Source organism: Homo sapiens, chromosome 7 (assembly GCF_000001405.40).
Source record: "Homo sapiens chromosome 7, GRCh38.p14 Primary Assembly".
NCBI lineage: Eukaryota > Metazoa > Chordata > Mammalia > Primates > Hominidae > Homo > Homo sapiens.
The window spans coordinates 74,231,352-74,256,541 of NC_000007.14; the positions used below are offsets into that span (position 1 = coordinate 74,231,352).

Consider the following 25,190-nt stretch of genomic DNA (forward strand, 5'->3'; position numbering starts at 1 on the left):
CTCGCCCTGGGGAAGTGGCGCCTTCAGGCTTCTAGAAGAACCGAGATGAGCTTGTGGGTCTACTATCTAATCGCCTTTTCTACTTGTAGGCTGCCAAGGCCCGTAGAGACAGGAAGCTGGTTTTTCTCGAGGCTTCACATGGTCACCTTATTGCCAACAAACACTGCAAGGCTTTATTAGCTAAAATGTCAACCCACACACAGATCAGAGACCGCCCTCAGCTTCTCTGCGCCTTTCCGCCCCGTCACCGCATCAATGGGGTGGAGGCCAAACTCAAACACTTGCGGGGCACAGACGTCCCAGAAGCAAACATGCAAGTCACGGGAGTTTATTTATTTAATTTTTTTCCCCAGATGGAGACTCTGTCGCCCAGGCTGGAGTGCAATGGTGTGATCTTGGCTCACTGCAACCTCCACCTCCTGGGTTCAAGCGATTCTCCTGCCACAGCCTCCCGAGTAGCTGGGATTACAGGTGCCCGCCACCACACCCAGCTAATTTTTATATTTTTAGTAAAGACAGGGTTTCCCCATGTTGGCCAGGCTGGTCTTGAACTTCTGACCTCAGGTGATCCACCTGCCTCGGCCTCCCAAAGTGTTGGGATTACAGGCGTGAGCTACCGTGCCTGGCCAGCCACTGGAGTTTAAAGGACAGTCATGTTGGCTCCAGCCTAAGGCGGCATTTTCCCCCATCAGAAAGCCGCGGCTCCTGTACCTCAGAATAGGGCACCTGTAAGTCAGTCAGTGAAGTCTCTGCTCTAACTGGCCACCGGGGCCATTGTCTTCTGACACAGCCTTGCCAGGAGGCCTGCCATCTGCAAAAGAGAGTTCACTCCTTCCGCTATTTTCATGTGAGTGTATCCAATTTCCTGAAAAACAAACCAAATTCAAATCTGGTTAATAAGTGGGGGAGTTCTTTTTTAAAATCTGAACTGAAAAAAATAAAAATAAAAACAGAAACAAACTGAACTAATGGTTTTTTCAAAATCAGCATGAGGAATTCCAACCCCAGCCGGAAAATGAATGCTAAGATGCAATGGATTATGTTTACCTAAAGTTCTATTTATTTCTTAAAAGGATGCTGATAGTTCTTTCAAAGAAACTGTTAAGAAAATGGGTGGGGCGAGGGGGGGCGGGGTGGTGGCACGGAAAGCCAGGCTAGAGGAAAATATTTATATATCTGATAAAGAACTTGCATCCAGACTGTATAAAGAATTCTCAAAAATTCAGTAATAAAGTCCAGGCGTGGTGGCTCATGCCTGTAATCCCAGTACTTTGGGAGGTCAAGGCAGGTGGATCACGAGCCCAGGAGTTCGAGATCAGCCTGACCAACATGGTAAAACCCCATCTCTACTAAAAATACAAAAATTAGCCAGGTATGGTGGCGCACGCCTGTAATCCCAGCTACTCGGGAGGCTGAGGCAGGAGAATCACTTAAACCTGGGAGGCGAAGGTTGCAGTGAGCTGAGATAGTGCCACTGCACTCCAGCCTGGGCAACAGAGCAAGACTCCATCTCAAAAATAAATAAGTAAATAAATTCAGTAATAAAAATCAAACAACCCAATTAAAAAATGGGTAGATTTAGACCTGGAGCAGTAGCTCACACCTGTAATCCCAGCATTCTGGGAGGCTGAGGCAGGAGGATCACTTGCCCAGAGTTGGGCCTGGGCAACATAGCAACACCCAAACTCTACGAAAAAAAGAAAATAAAAATGACCCAAGTGTAGTGGCACATGCCTGCAGTCCCAGCTACTCGGGAGCCTGAGGTGGGAGGATTGCTTGAGCATGGAAGGTTGAGGCTGCAGTGAACTATGATCGCACCACTGCACTCCAGCCTGGGTGACAGAGCAAGACCCTGTCTCTCAAAAACATAAAAAAGGTAGGCCAGGCGCAGTGGCTCACACCTGTAATTCTAGCACTTTGGGAGGCCGAGGCGGGAGGATCACTTGAGCCCGGGAGTTCAAGACCAGCCTTGGCAACACGGGGACACCCCGTCTCCACCAAAAATATAAAAATTGGCCGGTCTTAACATGATCTCTAAACAAAAAATACAGTACAATTAAAATAAAAAATGTAAAAATTTTAAAAAATGGGTATATATGAACAGATGTTTCATCAAAGAAGATTCTGGATGGCAAACGAGCACATGATTAAATGTTCAGCATAGTAATTAGGGAAATGCAAATTAAAGGCACAATGAGATCTCATCACATGCCTATTAGGTTATTTTGTTGTTGTTGTTATTGGTTTTTTTTTTTTTTTTTTTTTTAAGATGGAGTCTCACTCTTGTCGCCCAAGCTGTAGTGCAGGGGTGTGATCTCAGCTCACTGCAACCTCCACCTCCTGGGTTCAAGCGATCCTCCTCCCTCAGCCGCCCGAGTAGCTGGGATTACAGGTGTAAGCCACTGCATCCGGTCATTACACACCTATTAGAATGGCTTAAAAACCAAACTGAGCACTCCATGTGGTGGCTAGGTTGAGGATCCTCCGGAATGCTGGTGGGAATGCACGTGCTGCAGCCACTTCGGAAAACCGTTTGGCAGTTCCTTATCGAGTAAAACATACACTTATCATTTTCCCAGGCAATTTCACCCCTGGGAACTTACTTGGGAAAAAGAAAAACTTAACATTTGCATTCACACTAATCCATATATGCAAATGTTTACACTGGCTTTATTCACAGTCACCACAATCTGTAAACCCAAATGTCCTCCAGCTGATGGACAGATAAGCAAACTGTGGTACACGCACAGGATGGATTACTTCTCAGTGATAACACGGACTGACTCATGGATAGAAGTACCAGCGTGGACACATCTGAAAGGCATTTCTGCTACAGTGAAAGAAAGAAGCCAAACTCACAAGGCTAAGTTCTACATGATCCCATTTATATGATATTCTGGAAAACTGTATCCCATGAAACAGAAACTACATCGGTAGTTTCCAAGTGGTAGTCGGGGAGGGGGCTGGCTTCAAAGGGACACATGAGTTGTTCTGGGATGACAGATTCTGCATCCTGATGGTGATAGTGTTTGCATGACTGAGTGCGTTTGTCCTGTACCTAACAGGCTGAATTTTACTCTATGTAAATTAAACCTCAATTAATCTAACCTTGAAAAATCAATCAATCAGTCAATACACAAGAGAGCCTTGAATGAAGAAAATCAGAACTGTGTGAAACAAACTTGGTCCTCAGGACAATCAGCCACGTTGATCTAGTTTGGACGTCTGTCCCCTTCCAATCTCATTTGGAATTTGGTCCCCAATGTGGGGATGTTTGGGTCATGAGGAAGATCCCACGTGAATGGCTTGGTGCCCACCCCAAGGTAGTGAGTGAGTTCTGGATCAATTAGGTCCCTGGAGAGCTGGCTGTTCAAATGAGCCTGGCACCTCCCTCCGTTCTCAACAGGTGGTCTCTGCATGCACAGGCTCCCACTTCCCCTTCCAACATGAGCAGAAGCAGCCTGAACCCCTCCCTAGAAGCAGATGCTGGCATCATGCTACATGTACAGCCTGCAGAACTGTGAGCCAAATCAACCTCTTTTCTTTCTACATTACCCAGTCTCTGGTATTCCTTTATAGTAACTCAAAGGAACTAAGACACAGCCTCCCTCCCACTGCAGTTGGGAAACACTGAGCACCTTCTAGATGCCAGGCCTGTGAGCAGAGAAAGCGAAGCCAGGGCCCACAGTCTTTTTTTTTTGTTTTGAGACAGTCTCGCTCTGCTGCCCAGGCTGGAGTGCAGTGGTGCGATCTTGGCTCACTGCAACCTCCACCTCCCAGGTTCAAGCGATCCTCCTCCCTCAGCCTCCCAAGTAGCTGGGATTATAGGCGCTTGCCACCACACCCAGCTAAGTTTTGTATTTTTAGTAGAGATGGGGCTTTGCCATGTTGGCCAGGCTGGTCTCAAACTCCTGACCTCAGGTGATCCGCCCACCTCGGCCTCCCAAAGTGCTGGGATTACAGGCATGAGCCACCACGCCCAGCCATGCCCAGCTAATTTTTGTATTTTTAGTAGACAGAGGCTTTCACTACGTTGGCCAGGCTGGTCTCGAACTCCTGACCTCAGGTGATCTGCCCACCTCGGCCTCCCAAAGTGCTGGGATTACAGGTGTGGCCCACAGCACCCGGCCACTATGGGCCACATTCTTGAGGACAGAGGCATTTCTACATTCTCACCGACCTTGATAAACTCCAGTTTCAGGTATTCTGCCATTTGGAAAGTTTTACACACTCGAAAGATGTTGCCAATGATATCTTCTGGTGAGTAGCCCAGATGCCACAAGTGAGCAAGAATCTAGACAAAGGAGACAGAAAAGGCTGCTTACCACTTTAAACTGTAAGAAGACATGTGATTTTGAGACTCACCACAGCTGGTGGGGCCCACCCTTCAGGTCACATGGGGGTACCTTAACTGATTTTCATGGCAGATAGAGAGATAACATTGCAAATGTATTGTTGTTTTGCTTAAATATTTTTTTTTCAGTAATATAAAGATAAGAGTCTTGCTATATTGCCCAGGCTGGTCCCAAGTTCCCGGCCTCAAGCAATCCTCCTGCCTCGACCTCCAAAAGTGCTGGGATTACAGGCATGAGCCACTGAGCCCAGCCTATCGCAAATGTGTTAAGCTGTGTTGCAAAATGGTCTACTACCACACCCATGTAATCTCTTGATCCGGAGCTCTTAAAATGCTTTATTAATCTGATGACTAGGTATAGCAAAGTGGAAAAAGCAGACCATTCATCTGCTAGCTTCATCCAGCTGCAGTCCCAATGCAACCTCTGCAGGACGAGCCTGGAGCACACCCTGACTGGGTAATCCCAGCCTCCTGCTTCCCACCCACCCTGCCCCACCCAGGCTGCAGCGTCTGGAGGCAGGCCTTTTTGCCTTTGTTTTGGCATCTTGGGGTGAATTCAGGAGGCAGAGAAGCTCTGTGCCCACAAATCTGAAGGCTTTCTTCAGGTCTACTCAGGGACCCTGGGCCTGGGTCTCTGCTCAGTCTCCCCGCCTTGCACTCCGGTTTCACATTGGGTGGAACTATGCCCTAAACCCAGTCAACTTCCAACCTAGTTTGTTAGGGGGTAGGCAGAGGGAAACCATGACTGGATCAATGACCTTGAACCACACCAACCACACCACACCCATGTGGCTTGAGGTCGCCTGAACCCCAGCCACATCTGCTGGAATCTGCTCACAGCACTCAGTCCCATTGTGAGGCTAGAATCTTCCTGCTCCCTCCTCTCCTGGCTAGCTGGGGGCTGCTGGATCCCAGAATGCCTGTGCCTATGAGAATGGATGGGGACACTTCCCCTTAACTGGAGAGAAGATGGCTTCCCTGGAGAAGGAGCTAGGCTGGTCTTTCCTCCTGACTTTGGCTGACAAATTTCTCCTGCAGAGGATATAATTACAGGAGAAAAACACCATTTTGAATTCTAGTTCTACTGCTTTTAAACCATGACTTAGGGCTGGGCATAGTGACATGTGCCTGTAGTCCCAGCTACTTGGGAGGCTGAGGTGGGAGGATCGCCTGAGCCTGAGAGGTAGAGGCTACAGTGAGCTGTGACCGCGCCAGTGCATTCCGGCCTGGGCAACAGAGTAAGACCCTGTTTCTACATAAATAAATAAATAAATAAATAAACAAACACAGTGATTTAGGACAAGGAATTCAGCCTCTGAATCAGTTTTCTCATCAGTAAAGTGCACCCAACTCCTAGCATAATTTTTTTTTTCCAGTTCCTAGACAGATTAACACATAGCATGATATTAATAATTTTTTTTTTTTCCTGAGACAGGGTCTCACCATCACCCAGGCTGGGGTACAGTGGCGCAATCACAGCTCACTGCAGCCTTGACCTCCAAGGCTCAACAAATCCTCCTGCCTCAGTCTCCCAAGTAAGATTTCAAGAATGAATGGAGTGATGTGTATAATGTCCCTGGTACCAGAAGGGCTCCCGCTCTCCTCTGCCCAAGAAGTGAGCGGTTCCTCTGCCAGGACGGGGGGAAGGAGGCCAACCTTGTAGGCTTCGTCAATGTTGGCATTCACACAGTGCTGGATCATCTCCTTTACCAGCAGTGGGTGGGGCTCGTCACAGACCTGGCCAAAGGGAAAGGAAAGGCGGTCAGGGGCTAGAAGGGACAATGTGAGCGGGGAGGCCCCAACAGACCGACTTCCAGGCAATCTATGGGTAAAACTTCTCAACCTGTTGTTTTCATCAAATTCTCCAGCAACCAGGATGAGTTTGGGGAATGCTCCTCTCACCATCAAAGAGAAGTGCTTCCGGCACCAGGAAGATAAATTTCCCAAACATAAGACAGATGAACAAGAGAGCAACCAAGGGCCTGTGAAGGATGCTCACTTGGGGACAGCTTTAAAGTCACAAGTCATCTGTCTTAGATCACTTGGGGGGTCAGTTGCCCAGAACCACTTGGAATTCACTTTAGAACTGGGAGGTCTTTTGGGCCAATTCCCACCTCCACCCCGGAGTAGGAACTGGCCTTCCCTACAAAAGGTCCCCCAGCCTCAGCCTGACACCCTAAACAAGGGGTCAGGCTACTCCAGCAGGCAGGTGCATGGTGCTGGGGACTCCGTCCTCCCTGCAGCATTCTCCGCAGTGGCATGAGGCTCTGCCTCTGGTACAATGTCGACCCCTACATCTTCCCAATGAAAGCCTCCTGATGGCTCCAGAGGTCACCCACACCTGCCCTTGCCTTTTCCCGGTGGAAGCCATGGTTTCCTGAGCCCTCAGTGACCCTCCAAGACAAAACAGGGCCCGAACCATCACCCCTGTTTCTGAGCGGGCCTCCCCTTCCTAAGTGGCCTCGAAAATGCATTCACTGCCCAGATCTACCCAGATGCTTCAAAAATCGCTTGTCTGTTGTCCACAAACCTGGTAAGAAACAGCTATAGGCTGAAAGCTTGGACAGCCCTTCCCAGTTTCTTCCCCCAAATAAGGGGGAAGTGAATCTCTCAAATGGCATTTAGACGCGGAGTTATCAGGATGCGGAAGCAGTTTTCAAAAGAATTCCCAAGAGAAAAATGTTTTGCTGACATGGGAGAGTAAGTGAGAAACCTTTTCCTCAGCCTGGCTTTGAGGGTTACTACCCACCCTCCAGGGGCAGAAGTGGGGAGCAGGGCACAGCATTGCAGAAAAAACCCAGGGTGTGGGGTCTGAAGGCTACTGGGGAACAGCACAGTGCTCCTGCCTGCCCTTTAGGGGCCAGGGGATCCCCTGGGCCCACGTCATCACCCACAATGTGATGGTGAGAACCTCTGTGCAGGGAAGTCGCTGGGATCAAATAAGACACGTCAGAAATTGCTCGACCCTGGGTCTGATGCATCCGTGGTCCTCCCTCACCTACCACACACAAGTGACGTTCCAGGTCCCCCGAAACTCTCCAGCTTGTGCAGCAAAGCAGCAATAGGGAGAGGACAGACGGGAGCAGGGTGGGCTCCCTGGCACCCACAAGAGCAGCTAGATGTCCGTCCCCACTGCCAGCCCAGCCCTTCAGCCCCACTGGCCCCCACAGGGAAGCACGGCTTCTGCTGACAGTACCACCCACACTAGCGCTTGTACCTTGAACACGTTCTCACTGTTAATGAAGCCAAATCCTGAGAAGGTGGACTGCAGGTTGTTCAGCGCCTGTTCAGGAGCAAACACATGTCAAGGATGATTTTTATATTTATTTCTTTTTGAGTAGAGACAGGAGTCTCGCTATGTTGCCCAGGCTGGTCTCGAACTCCTGGGCTTAAGCGATTCTCCCACCTCCGCCTCCCAAGTGCTGGGATTACAGGCATGAGCCACCGCACCGGGCCAAGGGTGACTTTTTTTTTTTTTTTTTTTTTTTGAGACAGAGTCTCACTCTGTCACCCAGCATGGAGTGTAGTGGCACAATCTCGAGTCACTGCAATCTCCGTATCCCAGGTTCAAGCGATTCTTCTGCCTCGGCCTCCTGAGTAGCTGGGATTACAGGCACCCACCACCATGCCCAGCTTTTTTTTTTGAGACAGAGTCTCGCTCTGTCGCCCAGGCTGGAGTGCAGTGGTGCTATCTCAGCTCACTGCAAGGTCCGCCTCCCAGGTTAATGCCATTCTCTTGCCTCAGCCTCACGAGTAGCTGAGACTACAGGCGCCCACCACCACGCCTGGCTAATTTTTTGTATTTTTAGTAGAGATGAGGTTTCACCATGTTAACCAGGCTGGTCATGAACTCCTGACCTCGTGATCCACCCGCCTTGGCCTTCCAAAGTGTTGGGATTATAGGCGTGAGCCACTGTGCCTGGCCATGCCTGGCTAATTTTTTAATTTTTTTTAGTAGAGATGGGATTTCACCATGTTGGCCAGGCTGGTCTTGAACTCCTGACCTCAGGTGATCCTCCTGCCTCAGCCTCCGGGGTGACTTTTAAAGCTCTGCCCTTCCCTGCCTCTCTTCTTGGAGTCCGAGCTAGACAGCCCACTGTCCCAGGAGGGTGCCAGGTCTCTGTCTCTTTCTCTTGTTGTACCTTGTGCAGCTGTCACTTCCCTCCCCTTCCCCATGGAAGGGGCATGGCAGGCACAGGATGCCCACGCCTGAATGGTAGCAGCCCACATACCTGCCTCATGTCTCCCTGGGCCGTGAAGATGATGGCTTCTAGGCCGTCATCAGTGTAGGGTACCCTCTCCTTCTCGATAACATTCATCAGCCTGGTGAGGATCTGGGCGTCGGTCAGCTTTGTGTACCGGAGGACTGCACAGCGGGACTGAATGGGCTCTGAACAGAGACGGGACAGTAGTGAGGCTTCCCTGCAGAGGCCGGCATCATCCTGCTAGCTCTTTGGTCATAAGGCTGCAGCTGCACAATCCACACAGCCCCAGGCACTCAATAGAGACTTGGTAGGCCGGACACGAGGGCTCACGCCTGAATCCCAGCACTTTGGGAGGCTGAGGCGGGAGGATCACTTGAGGACAGGAGTTTGAGACCAGCCTGGACAACATGGTGAAACCCCATCTCTACTAAAAATACAAAAATTAGCTGGGTGTGGTGTCGCACGTCTGTAATCCTAGCTACTCAGGAGGCTAAGGCAAGAGACTCGCTTGAGCACGAGAGTTGGAGGCTGAAGTGAGCCAAGATCACACTACTGCACTCCAGCCTGGACAACAGAGCGAGGCTGTGTCTCCAAAAAAAAAAAAAAAAAAAAGAGAGAGAGAGAGACTTGGTAAACACAGGGTGATATGTCAAGGTGTCAACCAATAAGCAATGACAGAGGCCTCAGTTGGCACTGCCCACATGGCCTTGGCTAGCCACGGCTTCCAGACGGGGAAATGATCCTCCAGTAGAAACACATCCATGTGCCTGCCACAAGCTGTTAGATGAGTCAGCCCTGGCCCAGGTGGACTCTGGAATTGGTGTGTGCTGGATGTTGGCCCTTCTGGGCACATGACAATTCAATCTGAATGGGCCAACCCAGTTTCTTTCTTTTTTTTTCATAGACAGGGTTTTGCTGTTGCCCAGGCTGCTCTCGAACTCCTGGCCTCAAGTAGTCTTCCTGCCTCAGCCTCCCAAAGTGCAGGGATTACAGGTGTGAGCCACCATGCCTGGCCAGTTTCTTTCTTTCTTTTTTTTACTGAGACCAAGTCTCTCTGTTGCCCAGGCTGGAGTGCAGTGGTGTGATCTAGGCTCACTGCAACCTCCACCTCCCAGGTTCAAGTGATTCTCCTGTCTCAGCCTCCTGAGTAGCTGGGATTACAGGCGCACGCTATCACACCCGGCTAATTTTTGTATTTTTAGTAGAAATGGGGTTTCACCATGTTGGCCAGGTTGGTCTCGAACTCCAGACCTTAGGGGATCCACCTGCCTCGGCCTCCCAAAGTGCTGGGATTACAGGCATGAGCCACTGTGCCCTGCCAAATCAAGACCTAGGAATGCATTTTTCTCCATTTCATTGCTGGCATCTGCAAAGTGGAGAATACTTCTCATTAAACTCCACGAGCTCTCCACTAGCATGGTGCCTGGCGGCTACTAAGAACCAGAGTTAAGCGTTCGGTGAATGGGTTAATGAATCAATGCACAAATCAGTGCGATTTTGGGAAGGGAAAAGAATGCAAAGGATTCTTGACACTGCTGAGAGCCCCACCAGGGCTGGTAGCCATGACTTTGTGGGTGCCATATTTGGTAATGCGCTCGTCGGCAACAGCGGCCTGGGTGGCAAGGGGGTTGTCAGATGGATGAGCTCATATGGTTGGGGTTCAGCAGGGCAGAAGTGAGGCAAAGAAAGCGGCTGAGAGAGCAATGAAAAATGAGGAAAGAGGACAGCTGGGCTGTGCAGGCAGCCTGTGTCAGAAAGAGAAGGATGGGCCAGCCGTGGTGGCTCACGCCTATAATCCCAGCACTTTGCGAGGCCGAGGTGGGCAGACCACTTGAGGCCAGGCGTTCTAGACCAGCCTGGGCAACATGGTGAAACCTCGTCTCTAAGAAAAATACAAAAATTAGCCTGGCATGGTGGCACATGCCTGTAATCCCAGCTACTGAGGAGGCTGAGGTAGGAAAATCACTTGAATCCAGGCAGCGGAGATAGCAGTGAGCTGAAATCGCAACACTGCACTCCAGCCTGGGCGACAGAGCGAGACTCTCTCTACAAAAAAAAGAAAGAGAAGGATGTGAAACCAGCAGGAAGTTGACAGACTAGAGCACTCTTGGGACCTGGGGCGGGACAAACCCATGCAGAAGCAGACAGGCTGCAGGGAGGGAGGTGGAAGGGCAAACAGTAAGGTTAGAGAAAAGACGGACTGCAGGATTTGAGAGAGGAGCTTCCCGGAGGCAACAAATTCCAATGTACAGATACTGCCTATACCAAGTACTCAGAGCACATGAATAGCACAAGAAGGTATCTGGAGAGCGACTGTGATCGTGACACCGTGCAGGGGACATCAACAACATCCTTGTGCCTCCAAGAGTGCAAGAGGGTGATAGAACTGGGGCTCCAATCCCAGCTGCTCTTGCACTTGCTCTGACTTTGGGGAAACTACTCAACCTCTCCAAGCTCGTTTTCTTTCTCTTTTTTCCTTAGATCCTAAACATCAGGATAAGCTCCAGTTTTCTCATCTCTAAACTGAAGCGAATAATACCTCCTCATAGGATTATGTAAGATTAAATTTAAAAGTTGATTACAATGGGAAACATGTGCATAATATATACAATTTCTCCTTGTCAATTAAAAAAATATAAATTTAAAAACTTGATTATATAGTGCTTGGCCCATGCTACACAATAAAAAAATCCCTACTCTTCCAGCGCTAAAGAGCCAAGGCGAGGCCAGGTGCAGTGGCTCACATCTGTAATTCCAGCACTTTGGGAGGCCGAGGCAGGCGATCACGAGGTCAGACGTTTGAGACCAGCCTGGCCAACATGGTGAAACCCCATCTCTTAAAAAAAAAAAAAAAAAAAAAAAATTAGCTGGGTGTGGTTGTGCGAGCCTGTAATCCCAGCTACGCAGGAGGCTGAAGCACAAGAATTGCTTGAACCTTGGAGGTGGAGGTTGCAGTGATCTGAGATCGTGCCATTGCACTCCAGCCTAGGCGACAGAGTGAGACTTTGTCTCAAAAAAAAAAAAAAAATCCAGGTGTGGTGGCACAGGCCTGTAGTCTCAGCTACTGGGAGGCTGAGGCAGGAAGACCACTTGAGCACAGGAGTTTGAGGCTGCAGTGAGCTGTGATGGCACCACTGCACTCCAGCCTGAGCGAAGAGGGAGACCACATCTATAAAAAAGAAAAAAGCCCAGTTGAGCACCACGTGGCCCCCAGCCACCGAAAGCTCCCACTCACCGATGATCTTATCCGAAGCATTACAAGCAAGGGCGAAGCGAGTGGTTTTAGAGTAGATTTCCATGGTTCTCCTCAAGGCTTGCTGGGCTCCGTCGGTCATGCTGAGAAGAAAAACACAAGTTTGCAAGTGGGACCCAGAGACCATGTGACACAAATCGTTCCCTATACAAAAACCCAGGACATAAGACACATCCAATGTCCTAAATGAGGGTCTCATTGGAAGTACGCAGGCCATCCCTCTAATGCTAACACCTGCAGGCCGCTCTCTCAAAGACTGTGCAAACAGCATTTAGTACCTACAGCATCAGAACAACCCTCAAGTGAAACTCACGAAAACCACGATCTACAAGGGCTGCCATCACACTTGTGGGAATTGGTTCTCTCCAGTCCTTCATGACACAAATTCAGGAGAACAATCATGACACCAGCTGCCAACTTTTCTTTCTTCCTTTTTTATTCTTTTTTTTTTCTTAAAGAGACAGGTTCTTGCTGTCACCCAGGCTGCAGTGCAATGGTGGAATCATAGCTCACTGCAGCCTCGAACTCCTGGGCTCAAGCAATCCTCCCATCTCAAAAGGCTGATGCGGGAGGACCGCTTGAGACCAGGAGTTCGAGACCAGCCTGGGCAACAAAGTAAGACCTCTATTTCTACAAAAAATTTTAAAAAATACAAAAAAGCCTGTTTACCAGATTATCATAATGTAGAGCAATGCCTACAACATTAAAAGGAAAAACCAGGATACAAAAATTATATATATTATGATCTCAACTGTGTAAACATTGATAGTATATAAAAAGAGAAGAAAAAAAGCAAGTTATTAATGGCCAGGCATAGTGGCTCATGCCTGTAATCCCAGCACATTGGGAGGCCGAGGCAGGTGGCTCTCTTGAGGTCAGGAGTTCAAGACCAGCCTGGCCAACACAGCAAAACGTCAACTCTACTAAAAATACAAAAAAAAAAAAAAAAAAAAAATTGTCTGGGCGTGGTGGCGCACGTCTGTAGTCCCAGCTACTCGTGAGGCTGAGGCAGGAGAATCACTTGAATCCAGGAGGCAGAGGTTGCAGTGAGCCAAGATCATGCCACTGCACTCCAGCCTGGGCAACAGAGTGAGGCTCCACCTCAAAAAAATAAATAAATAAAAAGGCAGCAAACTATTAATATATTCTAAATTTTCTTCAAAGAACATGAATTACTGCCACATTAAAAAAAAAAAATTTTTTTTTTGAAACAGAGTCTTGCTCTGTTGCCCAGGCTGGTGTGCACTGGCACCATCTCAGTTCACTGCAACCTCTGTCTCCCGGGTACAAGCGATTCTCCTGCCTTGGACTCCTTAGTACCTGGGATTACAAGCACCATTGCATTCCAGCCTGGGCGCCACCATGTCCGGCTAATTTTTATACTTTTAGTAGAGACGGGGTTTCCACGTTGGCCAGGCTGGTTTCGAACTCCTGACCTCAAGCAATCTGCCCGCCTCGGCCTCCCAAAGTGCTGGGATTACAGGTGTGAGCCACCGCACCTGGCCCTAAAAAAAATTTATTTCGCCAGGCACAGCACCTCATGCCTGCAATCCTAGCACTTTGGGAGGCCGAGGCAGACAGATCACTTGAGGCCAGGAGTTTGAGACCAGCCTGGGTAACATAGTGAGATCCTGCCCCTGTGAAAAAAAAAATAGCTGGTTGCAGTTGCACAAGCCTGTAGTCTCCGCTACTTGGGAGGCTGAGGTGGAGGATCATTACAGCCGAGGAGTTCAAGGTTGCAGTGAGCTATGACTGTGCCATTGGACTCTAGTCTGAGTGATATAGTGAGACCCTGTCTCAAAAACTACAACAAAAAACAACGTTATAGGGTTAGGGTTCTATATTCTTTTCTTAATGTCATTTCAATTTTTTTTTTTTTTTTGAGATGGAGTTTCGCTCTTGTTGCCCAGGTTGCAGTGCAAATGGCATGATCTCAGCTCACCACAACCTTCGCCTCCGGGGTTCAAGCAATTCTCCTGCCTCAGCCTCCCAAGTAGCTGGGATTACAGGTATGTGCCACCACACCTGGCTAATTTTGTATTTTTAGTAGAGACGAAGTTTCTCCATGTTGGTCTCCATCTCCCGACCTCAGGTGATCCGCCTGCCTCGGCCTCCCAAAGTGCTGGGATTACAGGCATGAGCCACCGAGCCTGGACTCAGATTCTTCATTTATACCAACCGAAGTGTTGTGATGGTTGCACAACATTGCAAATGTACTAAATGCCACTGAACTGTATACTTCAAAATAGTTAAAATGGTAAATTTTGGGCCGGGCGCAGTGGCTCACACCTATAATCCCAGCACTTTGGGAGGCCGAGGCGGGCGGATCATGAGGCCAGGAGATCAAGACCATCCTGGCTAACACAGTGAAACCCCGTCTCTACTAAAAATACAAAAAAATTAGCTGGGCGTGGTGGAGGGCGCCTGTAGTCCCAGCTACTCGAGAGGCTGAGGCAGAAGAATGGCGTGAACCCAGAAGGTGGAGCTTGCAGTGAGCCAAGATTGCGCCACTGCACTCCAGCCTGGGCGACAGAGCAAGACTCCGTCTCACAAAAAAAAAAAAAAAAAAATTTATGGTTAATTATGTCCATTTAACCACAATAAAAAAATTTACAGGCCAGGCACAGTGGCTCACACCTATAATCCCAGCATTTTGGGAGGCCGAGGCGGGTAGATCACCTGAAGTCAGGAGTTCGAGACCAGCCTGGCCAACATGGCGAAACCCCATCTCTACTAAAAATACAAAAATTAGGCCAGGCTCGGTGGCTCATGCCTGTAATCCCAGCACTTTGGGAGGCTGAGGCGGGCGGATCACGAGGTCAGGAGATTGAGACCACCCTGGCTAACATGGTGAAACCCCTTCTCTACTAAAAATACAAAAAATCAGCTGGGCGTGGTGGTGCATGCCTGTAGTCTCAGCTACTCGGGAGGCTGAGGCAGGAGAATCACGTGAACCCAGGAGGCGGAGGTTGCAGTGAGCTGAAATCGCACCACTGCACTCCAGCCTGGGAGACAGAGCGAGACTCTGTCTCAAAAAAAAAATAAATAAATAAATACAAATACAAATACAAATACAAATACAAAAATTAGCCGGGTGTGGCGGCAGATGCCTGTAGTCCCAGATACTTGGGAGGCTGAGGCCAGGGAACCGCCTGAACCCGGGAGGCGGAGGTTGCAGTGAGCAGAGATCACACCACTATACTCCAGCCTGAGTGACAGAGAGAAACTCCATCTCAAAAAAAAAAAAAAACAAAAACCCTCATTTAAATTATTAACGTAAGAGATGCTGAAACCAGCACATTAAATGAATGACTATCTTAGACAAATGTTTGTAAGTTACTTAATAAAGATAAGATTTAAGGTGCAGGCCCCTATTAAATTGCTTGTGGAAGATATGATAAGCAAATCTACCATAAAAGTGCTTTTTATCCTGATTGAATAAAACCGAAAAAGAGATTTAGAGATCAAGGTCAAAATACATTTGGCAAAGCACTCTACCTGTCTGCTTCATCCAGAATGATGATCTTATGTCGGCCTTTGGGAAGAGTGACTTTTTGTTGAGCAAACATTTTAATTTTATTCCTCACAACGTCAATGCCCCTGAAAGAATGACAGGTTTTTACTGGCACCTTCTGAGACCAATTCAGTTGCCTTCACAAGGACTTTTAAACAATCGGTATATCAGGGACTGTGAGGCCCAATTTCCATTTTTGAGTTTTTTTGGGGGGCAATTGTAACTATTTATAAGGATTGAGATTTTATGGCATTTGTTCTTTCTTGGAGGTCTTTCAAAGAACAAAGAAAATATACACTTTTTTTTTTTTTTTCTTCAGACAGGGTCTCGCTGTGTCATCCAGGCTGGAGTGCAGTGGCCCTCTTGGCTCACTGCAAGCTCTGCCTCCCAGGTTCAGTGAGCCGGGATCACGCCACTGCACCCCAGCCTGGCGATAATTCGTCTCAAAAAAAAAAAAAAGCCTCATCCTTCAGTTTTTTAACTGCATTGCTTGAGATACCATATTATCTTTCAAAAGATGTAATAGAAGTGCAGATATACCACCTTTGTTATCTTGTAAGCTTTCACTAACCACAGCCAAGAATTCAAAATTTTTCATTCTCTACCCACAACAGGAAAGAGAAAAAAATTGAGAGGAGGACTCTTCCTAATTATTAGGTGAATCAGAAAATAACTGCAATGTAGGCCAAGCATGGTGGCTCACACCTGTAATCCCAACACTTTAGGAGGCCAAGGTGGGCGGACCACTCCAGGCCAGTTTAAGATCAACCTGGCCAACACGGCGAAAATCCATCTTTACTAAAAATACAAAAATTACCTGGGCGTGCCCGCGCACGCCTGTAGTCCCGGCTACTTGGGAGGCTGAGGCACGAGAATCGCTTGAACCCAGAAGGCAGAGGTTATGGTGAGTCGAGATCGTGCCACTGCACTCCAGCCTGGGTGACAGAGCAAGACTCTGTCTCAAAAAAAAAGAAAGAAAGAAAAGAACAGAACAGAACAGTACAGAACTGCAGAGACACCAATAGCAACATTCTAAATGCTACTGATGGTGAAATTGATCAATAAGCAAAATCTCAGACTATGAATCTTCAGATGCCAATATCCTCCAGACATTTTCCCTAACTGAAGAATCAAGGAGTGAACAATATGCAGCTGTCCCTTGGTGTTCCTGGGGACTGGTGCTAGGCCCTTCCTCAGACACCAAAATTCACTTTTGCTCAAGTCCCTTATATGAAATGGTATAGTATTTGCATATTAACTTATACACATCCTCCAGAACACTTTATTTTTACTTTTATACAGAGATGGGGTTTCATTATGTCACCTAGGCTGGTCTCAAACTCCTGGACTCAAGCGATCCACCTGCCTCAGCCTCCCAAAGTGCTGGGATTATAGGCATGAACCACCATGCCTGGCCGGCCTTCCATACACTTTAAATATACAGGCTGAGTATCCCTTATCCCTAATGCTTGGGACCAGAAATATTTCAGATCTGGGTTTTTTTTTCACATTTTGGAATTTTGCATTATATTTACTGGTTGAACATCCCAGTGTAGTGGCTCACGTCTGTAATCCAAGCACTTTGGGAGGCTGATGCAAGGAGGATCGCTTGAGTCCCGGAGTTCGAGACCAGACTGGGCAACATAGTGAGATCCCGTCTCCACAAGAAAAAGCTGGCATGGTGGCATGTGTCTATAGTCCTAGCAACTTAGCAGGCCAAGGCAGGAGGATTGCTTGAGGCTAAGGGTTTGAGATCAGCCTGGGCAACATAGTGAGATCCCATCTCTACAAAAATTTTTAAACTTGAAAAAAGAGAAAAACTAGTTGGTTTTTTTTTTTTGGAGATGGAGTTTTGCTCGTCACCCAGGCTGGAGTGCTCAACGGTGCGATCTCAGCTCACTGTAACCTCCTTCTCCTGGGTTCAAGCAATCCTCCTGCCTCAACCTCCTGAGTAGCTGGGATTACAGGCACCCAGCACCACGCCCAGCTAAGTTTTGTATTTTTAGTGGAGACGGGGTTTCACCATGTTGGCTAGGATGGTCTCGAATTCCTGACCTCAGGTGATCTACCTGCCTCGGCCTCCCAAAGTGCTGGAATTACAGGTGTGAGCCACCATGCCTGGCTGAGAAGAACAGTTTTTGAAAATTTCCATGAAAACAAAAAAAATAAACCGGCAAGTTGACAAGTGAGCAACGCTCTTTCACTGGGAAGGGGTGGAGGAAATCACATAGCTGGCAAGGCTTCGCATACAACCCAATGCTGAGAAAGGTTGTTTCTGTAACAATTCTCAATGCAGAGCACCCGCCCCCCTACAGGTCTGACTCTAAGACCTACCTGTCATTTGAAGCATTGAGTTCCAACATGGCATCTTTGAGTGCTGGGCCCAGCAGGGCCCGGGCCAAGCACAGAATGCTTGTGGTCTTGCCGGTTCCTGGAGGGCCCTGGGAATGAGATCTCCAGTAAAGACTTCAAACCACCAGAAGGACCTCAGGTAGCTCTTGAGTTATGTTCACTGCTGTTTGCATCTCCGTCACCTCTGACCCCTGCATTCCACCCACAGCACACACAGATCAATACAGCTGGCCGGAGACAGTGGCTCACACCTATAATCCCAGCACTTTGGGAGGCCAAGGCGGGCAGATCACCTGAGGTCAGGAGTTCAAGACCAGACTGGCCAACATGGCGAAACCCCGTCTCTACTAAAAATACAAAACTTAGCTGGGCGTGATGGCAGGCACCTGTAATCCCAGCTAGTCGGGAGGCTGAGGTACAAGAATCGCTTGAACCTGGGAGGGAGAGGTTGCGGTGAGCAGAGATTGCACCACTGCACTCTAGCCTGGGTGACAGAGTGAGACTCCGTTTCAGAAAAAAAAATAAATAAATAAATAAAAAAAAATACAGCAACCAACCCCAGGCCTCCCAACTAGAGTGAAACACTTCCCTTTGCCGGGGGAATGGGAAGGGGCTCTCCAGGGAGGCAGCGCTGTGCACAAGAAAGCAGTTCAGCGGACAGTGGGATGAGACATGGAGACACTCAACAGGCCCAGGGCTGGGTACTCACCGCAATGATGATGTTGGGCACATTTCCTTCCCTTGCAAAGACCTACGGCGAAAATGATCATTAAAACCGGTTAAAACTTGCTTCTGGATGACTACATAAAAAAGATAGAAAAAAGAACAAACAAGCAGGTTAAAACTCGGCTGAGCACAATGGCTCAGGCCTGTAATCCTAGCAGTTTGGGAGGCCAAGGCAGGACAATCACTTGAGGCCTGAGGCCAGCCTGGGCAACACAGTGAGACTCTGTCTCCTCAAAAAATAAACAAAATTAGCCAGGTGTGGTGGTGTGCTCCTGTACTCCCAGCTACTCGGGAGGCTAAAATGGGAGGATCGGTTGAGCCTGAGAAGTGGAGGCCGCAGTGAGCTGTGACTGCACCACTGCACTCCAGCCTGGGAAAGAGTGGGACCCTGTCTCAAAAACAAAAAAAAAAAAACACAAAACCTGGTTAATTTGTAAGCTTTAGGAGCTGAATCTCCCCAGCTACACAGCCTGTGTAGTAAACGTGGCTACAAATTTATCCACATGGACTGGATGCCCCATGGAACTCTCACCTCAAGTTCTTTTTATTCTTTTAGAGATGCACTCTGGCTGTCACCCAGGCTGGAGTGCAGTGGTGTGATCAAGGCTCACCGCAGCCTCCAATTCCCAGGCTCAAGTGATCCTCCTGCTTTGGCCTCCCGAGTAGCTGGGACTACAGGTACTCACCTCGGCATCTTCAAAACTGAACACTTCATTCTCCTGTACAAACCTGAGGCCCCACCCATGTTTCCCACCATGGACTGTCTATGCCATGAAGTTGAGGTTGCCATCATCTTGGTTTGGCCTCATCCTCACCCTGAGTACTTCAATAACCAGGGCTTCACCATCCTCCTCCTTCGTCTCCAGCGTCCTTTACTTCTCTCCATCCCTTCTCTCCATCCCGGCTACCACTTTCTTAAGCCCATTATCTCGTCTGATTGCTATCAATGGGCCATTAAGTGGTCTCCATGCTCCCATTCAAATCCATTTCCCATCCTGTAACCACGACCACTTTCCTAAAGTACACACCTATTAAAACATTTTTTTTTTTGAGATGGAGCTTTGCTCTTGTTGCCCAGGCTGGAGTACAATGGCACAATCTCGGCTCACTGCAACCTCCGCCTCCCGGGTTCAAGCGATTCTCCTGCCTCAGCCTCCTGAGTAGCTGGGATTACAGACGCCCACCACCATGCCTGCCTAATTTTTATTTTTAGTAGAGACGGGGTTTTGCCATGTTGGCCAGGCTGGTCGTGAACTCCTGACCTTAGGTGATCCACTCGCCTTGGCCTCCCAAAGTGCTGGGATTACAGGTGTGAGCCACCACACCCGGCCCTATTAAAACATTTTTCCCTAACTGAAATCCTTGACTCCTCCCTGCCCTCACTATGAAGCCCAAACTCTTTTTGTTTCTCAAAGTAAGGGTGTCCACTCTGTCACCTAGGCTAGAGTGCAGTGGCGTGATCATAGCTCACTGCAGCGTCAAACTCCTGGGCTCAAGGGATCCTCCTGCCTTGGCCTCGAGTAGCTGGGATTACAGGCACTTGTCACCATGCCCAGTTTGAACCTCAGACTCTACAGGCATGTGCCACCACACCCAGCTCATTCTTAAATTTTTTCGTAGAGACTGGTTTCACCACATTGCCCAGGCTGATCTCAAACACCTGGCCTCAAGTAATCTGCCCGCCTTAGCCTCCCAAGGTGCTGGGATTACAGGTGTAAGCCACTGTGCCCAGCCTTAGGTCATCTTTTAAAAACCTACTCAAGGCCGCTCGTGGTGGCTCACGCCTGTAATCCCAGCACTTTGGGAGGCCGAGGCAGGCGGATCACGAGGTCAGGAGTTCAAGACCAGCCTGGCCAACACGGTGAAACCCCATCTCTACTAAAAATAAAAAAATTAGCCAGGCGTGGTGGCGTGTGCCTGTAGTCCCAGCTACTGGGGAGGCTGAGGCAGAAGAATTGCTTAAACCCAGGAGGCGGAGCTTGCAGTGAGCTGAGATGGCGCCACTGCACTCCAGCCTGGGCGACAGAGCGAGACTCCATCTCAAAAAAAAAAAAAAAAAAGGCCGGGCGCGGTGGTTCACGCCTGTAATCCCAGCACTTTGGGAGGCCGAGGTGGGCAGATCACGAGGTCAGGAGATCGAGACCATCCTGGCTAACACGGTGAAACCCCATCTCTACTAAAAATACAAAAAAAATTAGCCAGGCATGGTGGCGGGCGCCTGTAGTCCCAGTTACTCCGGAGGCTGAGGCAGGAGAATGGCGTGAACCCAGCAGGCAGAGCTTGCAGAGAGGCCAGATTACGCCAATGCGCTCCAGCCTGGGCGACAGAGGGAGGCTCCATCTCAAAAAAAAAAAAAAAAAAAAAAAAAAAGGCCAGGTGTGGTGGCTCACGCCTGTAATCCCAGCACTTTGGGAGGCCGAGGCGGGAGGATCATGAGGTCAGGAGATTGAGACCATCCTGGCTAACACGGTGAAACCCCGTCTCTACTAAAAATACAAAAAATTAGCTGGGTGTGGTGGTGGGCACCTGTAGTCCCAGCTACTGGGGAGGCTGAGGCAGGAGAATGGCATGAACCCGGGAGGCGGAGCTTGCAGTGAGCGGAGATCGCACCACTGCACTCCAGCCTGGGCGACAGAGCGAGACTCTGTCTCAAAAAAAAAAAAAGCCACTCACCTCTAGCCTGCTCACGGTGTCTTCATTCCCGACAATTTCATTCAGCTTTACTGGCCTATATTTTTCAACCCTGTTAAGAAAATGCATAAAAATGCTGACATGGTTATCTTCACACTACCCCACAAAAAGCACCTAAGGGTTATCCTGAGAGCTTTGTTAAAAAATTACATACATTCAGTACAACTATGCCAAATGGTTGCAAGTTTTAAATGTAATAAGATGACAGCCAGGCGCAGTGGCTCACACCTGTAATCCTAGCACTTTGTGAGGCTGAGGCGGGTGGATCAATTGAGGTCAGGAGTTTGAGCCCAGTCTGGCCAACATGGTGAAACCTCATCTCTACTTAAAATACAAAAATTAGCTGGATGTGGTGGTGTGCGTCTGTAATCCCAGCTACTTGGGAGGCTAAGGCACAGTAGCTCGAACCTGGGAGGCAGAAGTTGCAGTGAGCTGAGATCATGCATGCCACTATACTCCAGCCCGGGCTACAGAGTGAGACTCTGTTTCAAAAATAAATAATAAATAAATAAAATGTAATAAGATGCCCAAGTGCCATTTGAAAAGTTAAAGGCATGAGAATTGTACAGCATAGGCTTCAAACCTGCCACAGCAGAGAAACACCTGTTGCTGCTGGAGCACGGCCAGCACAGGTCATCTGGAGCAATGTGACACTGTGCTGCAACCCTGTCCGCCCGTCACAAGAGGCCCAGCACATACAGCACTGACATCATTTGGTGTGACAACATGGGTGCAACCAAGCTCCTTTCTCATCCCTTACCTGCCAGTTTCTTTTCTTTTTTTTTTTTTTGGAGACAGAGTTTTGCTCTTGTTGCCCAGGCTGGAGTGCAATGGTGCGATCTTGGGTCACTACCAACCTCAGGTGATCTGCCCACCTCAGCCTCCCAAAGTGCTGGGATTACTGGCGTGAGCCACCATGCCAGGCAAGGATTACCTGCCAGTTTCTGCAGACGTGTGCCAAATACACAGCATAGCTGGCTAGACACCGTAGGCCTAGGCTGGGTACAGTGGCTCATGCCTGTAATCCCAGCACTTTGGGAAGGCGAGGCGGACGGATCACTTGAGATCAGGACTTCGAGACCAGCCTGGCCAACATGGTGAAACCCAGCCTCTACTAAAAACACAAAATTAGCAGGGTGTGATGGTACATGCCTGTAATCCCAGCTACTAGGAAGGCTGAGGCAGAATTGATTGAACCAGGGAGATGCAGGTTGTAGTGAGCAGAAATCACACCACTGCACTCCAGCCTGTGTGACAAAGTGTGACTCCATCTAAAAAAAAAAAATTAACTGGGCATGGTGGTGCGTGCCTGTAGTCCCATCTACTTAGGAGGCTGAGGCAGGGGGATCACTTGAGCCAAGGAGCTGGACATCAGCCTGGGCAACACAGCAAAACCCCCGTCTTGATTTTTTTAAAAAAATTTCAAATGTAAATGTTATTGAACCTAACAGTCAAAATATTATTTTCAACATGTAATCGATATTTTTTTTAAAAGATTGAAGTTTTTGAAAACACTAGGTCATACACTACTATACACAAAAACTTTTGAAAAAACCAACTAGGTCAGAGTAGGTGGCCACCCGGGGTAGCCCTAATTGTCATAAGCATTGTAGTGAGCGAGACTCCGCTCGCAGAGTTTAGACCGGCCACTCTCGATCCATGTCCGTCGCCTTCTTGAAATCATCTCGATGCCACCCGGGGCCTCCTCCTCCCTCGGGATTCCCCAAAACGAGCCCCTGACCCCCGAGTTTCTCCGGAGCACGGCCCGCCACTCGCCCACCCTCACGTCCAAACGCGCCCATTCTTTACGGCCTGGGACCTCACCACGGCAGTTCGTAGTGGCCGGCGCTGCCGGGGGCCTTGCTGAAGGCAGGGGCAGGGTCAGAGTCCTGGGCCTCCACCTCGCCCGCGCCACCACAGACGGCCTCCACCTCCATTCTCGCGCCTCCTCTTCCCGCCACCCGAGGCACCGCCCCTTGACGCCGCCACGCAAGCCCCGCCCCCTGGCTTCCGCCGGGCGCGAGCGGAAGTTACGTACCCGCGCCTCTCTGTGCCTGCGAAGAGGGTTCCGGTGGTGCCCTGGCGGCCATCGCTGGAGGCCGCGGTTGCTATGGGAGACCTGGCGCCCGGCCTGGGAGCGACAGGAAGGCGAGCTGTGGCCGCGACGCCTTCCGAGAAAGCAGGTCGCTCTCGGAACGGACGTTTGTGTGTGGTTTCTGTGGAAGATCCGCTCCGCGGCGGCGTGGGAGGAGCAGGGCCTGGAGGGGTTGCGGCCAAACGCGGGCTTCGGTGTTGGGACACGGACAACGCTGGCGTCCGGGCGCTGCTGGGCAGCGGGGTCCGGGGATGACGTCTGGGGCTGCCCGTGCCCACTTTTCCAGATTGCTCTGAATGTCCTAGTGAGCTGCTCCCGTTGGGTAGGCTCCTGCGCCTCAACCGCGCTCGGTACTCGACGTTTATTATCAGGGAATTCTCGGCTGCAAGATGGGAATTCCACCCCCACCCCATTTTGCAGAGGAGGAAACTGAAACCGTCCTTTTGTCAGATGAAATGCAATGTTCATTCCAGGAAAATAGGGACTCAAGGCCGGTGCGGTGGCTCACCCCTCTAATCCCAGCACTTTGGGGGACAGAGACCGGAAGAGCGATTAAGCCCAGGAGTTCGAGACCAGCCTGGGCAACAAAGTGAGATCCCCGTCTCTACAAAAATAAAAATTAAAAAAGTAGCCGGGCGTGGTGGCGCGCACCTGCAGTTCCAGCTACTCAGGAAGCTGAGGCGGAGGAGTGCTTGAGCCCAGGAGGTGCAGGCTGCAGTGATCTCTGATCACACCACTGCACTCCAACCTGGTCTGCAGCAAGACCCTGTCTCAAAAAAGAAAAAGTAAATACTTCAACCTTGCAAGGGTTTTGAGCATTCTTATGGGCTGTTTTTCTACCCAATCTTTCCTCCCATAGCCCAAATTGTCATAATATTCAATAATGATGATCCCAGAACTTTGGGAGGCTAAGGTGGGAGGATCCCTCAAGCCGAGGAGTTTGAGACCAGCCTGGGCAACATGGTGAGACCCCATCTCTACAAAAAAAATTTTTTAAATTATCCAGTTGTGGTGGTACGCGACAGTAGTCCCAGTTACTCGGGAGGCTGAGGCAGGAGAATCGGTTGAGCCCATGAGGTTGAAGCCACAGTGAACCATGATCAAGTCAATGTACTCCAGCCCCGGGGGACAGAGTGAAATCCTGTTTCTAAAAAAATAAGAAGAAAAGAAAGTAGGTACTTCAGATTCACAAGTGCTTTGACCATTCTTTGTTTTGTTTCTTGTTTTTTGTTTTTGAGATGGAGTCTCACTCTGTCACCCAGACTGGAGTACAGTGGTGTGATCTCAGCTCACTGCAATGTCAGGCTCCCAGGTTCAAGTGATTCTCCTGCCTCAACCTCCCGAGTAGCTGGGACTACAAGCGTGTGCCACCACACCTGGCTAATACTTGTATTTTCAGTAGAGATGGGGTTTCGCCACGTTGACCAGGCTGGTCTCAAACTCCTGACTTCAAGTGATCCGCTTGCCTCAGCCTCCCAAAGTGCTGGGATTACAGGTGTGAGCCACCGCGTCTGGCCAAGCAGTTGGTTTTAACGATAGTATTAACGTATACAGATTCACAACTTAACACAGTGTTTTTCTTTCCATGTAATTTGGAAAAAATGTTTGAATTGGCCATCTCTCCCCTATTCCCCCTTTAAACTGATGGAGCGGTCTTGTCTGTTTTTTCAATCATTATTCACAGGTCTTTTATTTTTCCGGAGGAGAAAATACACACTCCTCTTGAAATATACACTTTTCTTGAAATGTCTCCGCGGTTTTTCCATAGGATTGTTCCTTTGTAATCTTCATGTTTTCCTTGTAATCACTATGACACACATCCCTCCCATCACATAACACAGTTTAGAAACTAATTTTTAATAAGTACAGAACACGGTTCCTTTCATAATTCTCCAAAAACCCCCACTCTACAGGAGGCCTTTTGGCGCTGCTAGGGCTCTCCTCTAACTGATGGAATGCCAGGAGAACCAGAGATGGAGGTGACTCTTAGGGCAAAGCTG

The 25,190-nt window shown here is 49.2% G+C and overlaps 1 protein-coding gene across 7 annotated transcripts, besides 8 other annotated features; it reads right to left on the reverse strand.

Annotated features, from left to right (window-relative positions):
* Nucleotides 151-23,048, reverse strand: RFC2 (replication factor C subunit 2). 7 transcript variants are annotated; one of them, NM_181471.3, is made up of 11 exons: nt 22,920-23,048; nt 21,078-21,147; nt 18,388-18,429; nt 17,661-17,767; nt 15,311-15,412; nt 11,795-11,895; nt 8,587-8,744; nt 7,572-7,637; nt 6,011-6,091; nt 4,181-4,294; nt 151-865 (listed from the first exon to the last, which is right to left on the reverse strand). In NM_181471.3, exons 1-11 carry the CDS (start codon nt 23,030-23,032, stop codon nt 755-757), a joined length of 1,065 nt encoding a protein of 354 aa, NP_852136.1. In that variant the 5' UTR covers nt 23,033-23,048; the 3' UTR covers nt 151-754. The 7 variants fall into 7 exon arrangements, with proteins under 7 accessions (NP_852136.1, NP_001265720.1, NP_001265721.1 ...); NM_001278791.2 differs by having other exon boundaries at nt 17,661-17,869; NM_001278792.2 differs by lacking the exon at nt 17,661-17,767.
* Nucleotides 22,080-22,682: an enhancer, noted in NCBI's record as "H3K27ac-H3K4me1 hESC enhancer chr7:73667761-73668363 (GRCh37/hg19 assembly coordinates)". NCBI's record gives its function as "activates a minimal SCP1, AML or CMV promoter by ChIP-STARR-seq in primed H9 embryonic stem cells {active_cell/tissue: H9 hESC(primed)}" and the evidence as "EXISTENCE:reporter gene assay evidence [ECO:0000049][PMID:30033119]".
* Nucleotides 22,683-23,285: an enhancer, noted in NCBI's record as "H3K27ac hESC enhancer chr7:73668364-73668966 (GRCh37/hg19 assembly coordinates)". NCBI's record gives its function as "activates a minimal SCP1, AML or CMV promoter by ChIP-STARR-seq in primed H9 embryonic stem cells {active_cell/tissue: H9 hESC(primed)}" and the evidence as "EXISTENCE:reporter gene assay evidence [ECO:0000049][PMID:30033119]".
* Nucleotides 22,722-22,951: an enhancer, noted in NCBI's record as "active region_26147". NCBI's record gives its function as "activates an Ori minimal core promoter by ATAC-STARR-seq in GM12878 lymphoblastoid cells {active_cell/tissue: GM12878}" and the evidence as "EXISTENCE:reporter gene assay evidence [ECO:0000049][PMID:35858748]".
* Nucleotides 23,002-23,121: a silencer, noted in NCBI's record as "silent region_18276". NCBI's record gives its function as "represses an Ori minimal core promoter by ATAC-STARR-seq in GM12878 lymphoblastoid cells {active_cell/tissue: GM12878}" and the evidence as "EXISTENCE:reporter gene assay evidence [ECO:0000049][PMID:35858748]".
* Nucleotides 23,286-23,888: an enhancer, noted in NCBI's record as "H3K27ac hESC enhancer chr7:73668967-73669569 (GRCh37/hg19 assembly coordinates)". NCBI's record gives its function as "activates a minimal SCP1, AML or CMV promoter by ChIP-STARR-seq in primed H9 embryonic stem cells {active_cell/tissue: H9 hESC(primed)}" and the evidence as "EXISTENCE:reporter gene assay evidence [ECO:0000049][PMID:30033119]".
* Nucleotides 23,362-23,441: an enhancer, noted in NCBI's record as "active region_26148". NCBI's record gives its function as "activates an Ori minimal core promoter by ATAC-STARR-seq in GM12878 lymphoblastoid cells {active_cell/tissue: GM12878}" and the evidence as "EXISTENCE:reporter gene assay evidence [ECO:0000049][PMID:35858748]".
* Nucleotides 24,337-24,426: an enhancer, noted in NCBI's record as "active region_26149". NCBI's record gives its function as "activates an Ori minimal core promoter by ATAC-STARR-seq in GM12878 lymphoblastoid cells {active_cell/tissue: GM12878}" and the evidence as "EXISTENCE:reporter gene assay evidence [ECO:0000049][PMID:35858748]".
* Nucleotides 24,457-24,506: an enhancer, noted in NCBI's record as "active region_26150". NCBI's record gives its function as "activates an Ori minimal core promoter by ATAC-STARR-seq in GM12878 lymphoblastoid cells {active_cell/tissue: GM12878}" and the evidence as "EXISTENCE:reporter gene assay evidence [ECO:0000049][PMID:35858748]".

Bases quoted from the DNA above. Each gene is read 5' to 3' on its own strand.
- RFC2 (NM_181471.3), bottom strand. From the start codon at position 23,032: ATGGAGGTGGAGGCCGTCTGTGGTGGCGCGGGCGAGGTGGAGGCCCAG. The intron at 11,896-15,310 runs GTAGAGTGCTTT...TTTTCTTCTCAG, and splicing joins ATTCTGGATGAAGCAGACAG to CATGACCGACGGAGCCCAGC. The intron at 8,745-11,794 runs GTGAGTGGGAGC...GTCTCTGTTCAG, and splicing joins TGCTTCGGATAAGATCATCG to AGCCCATTCAGTCCCGCTGT.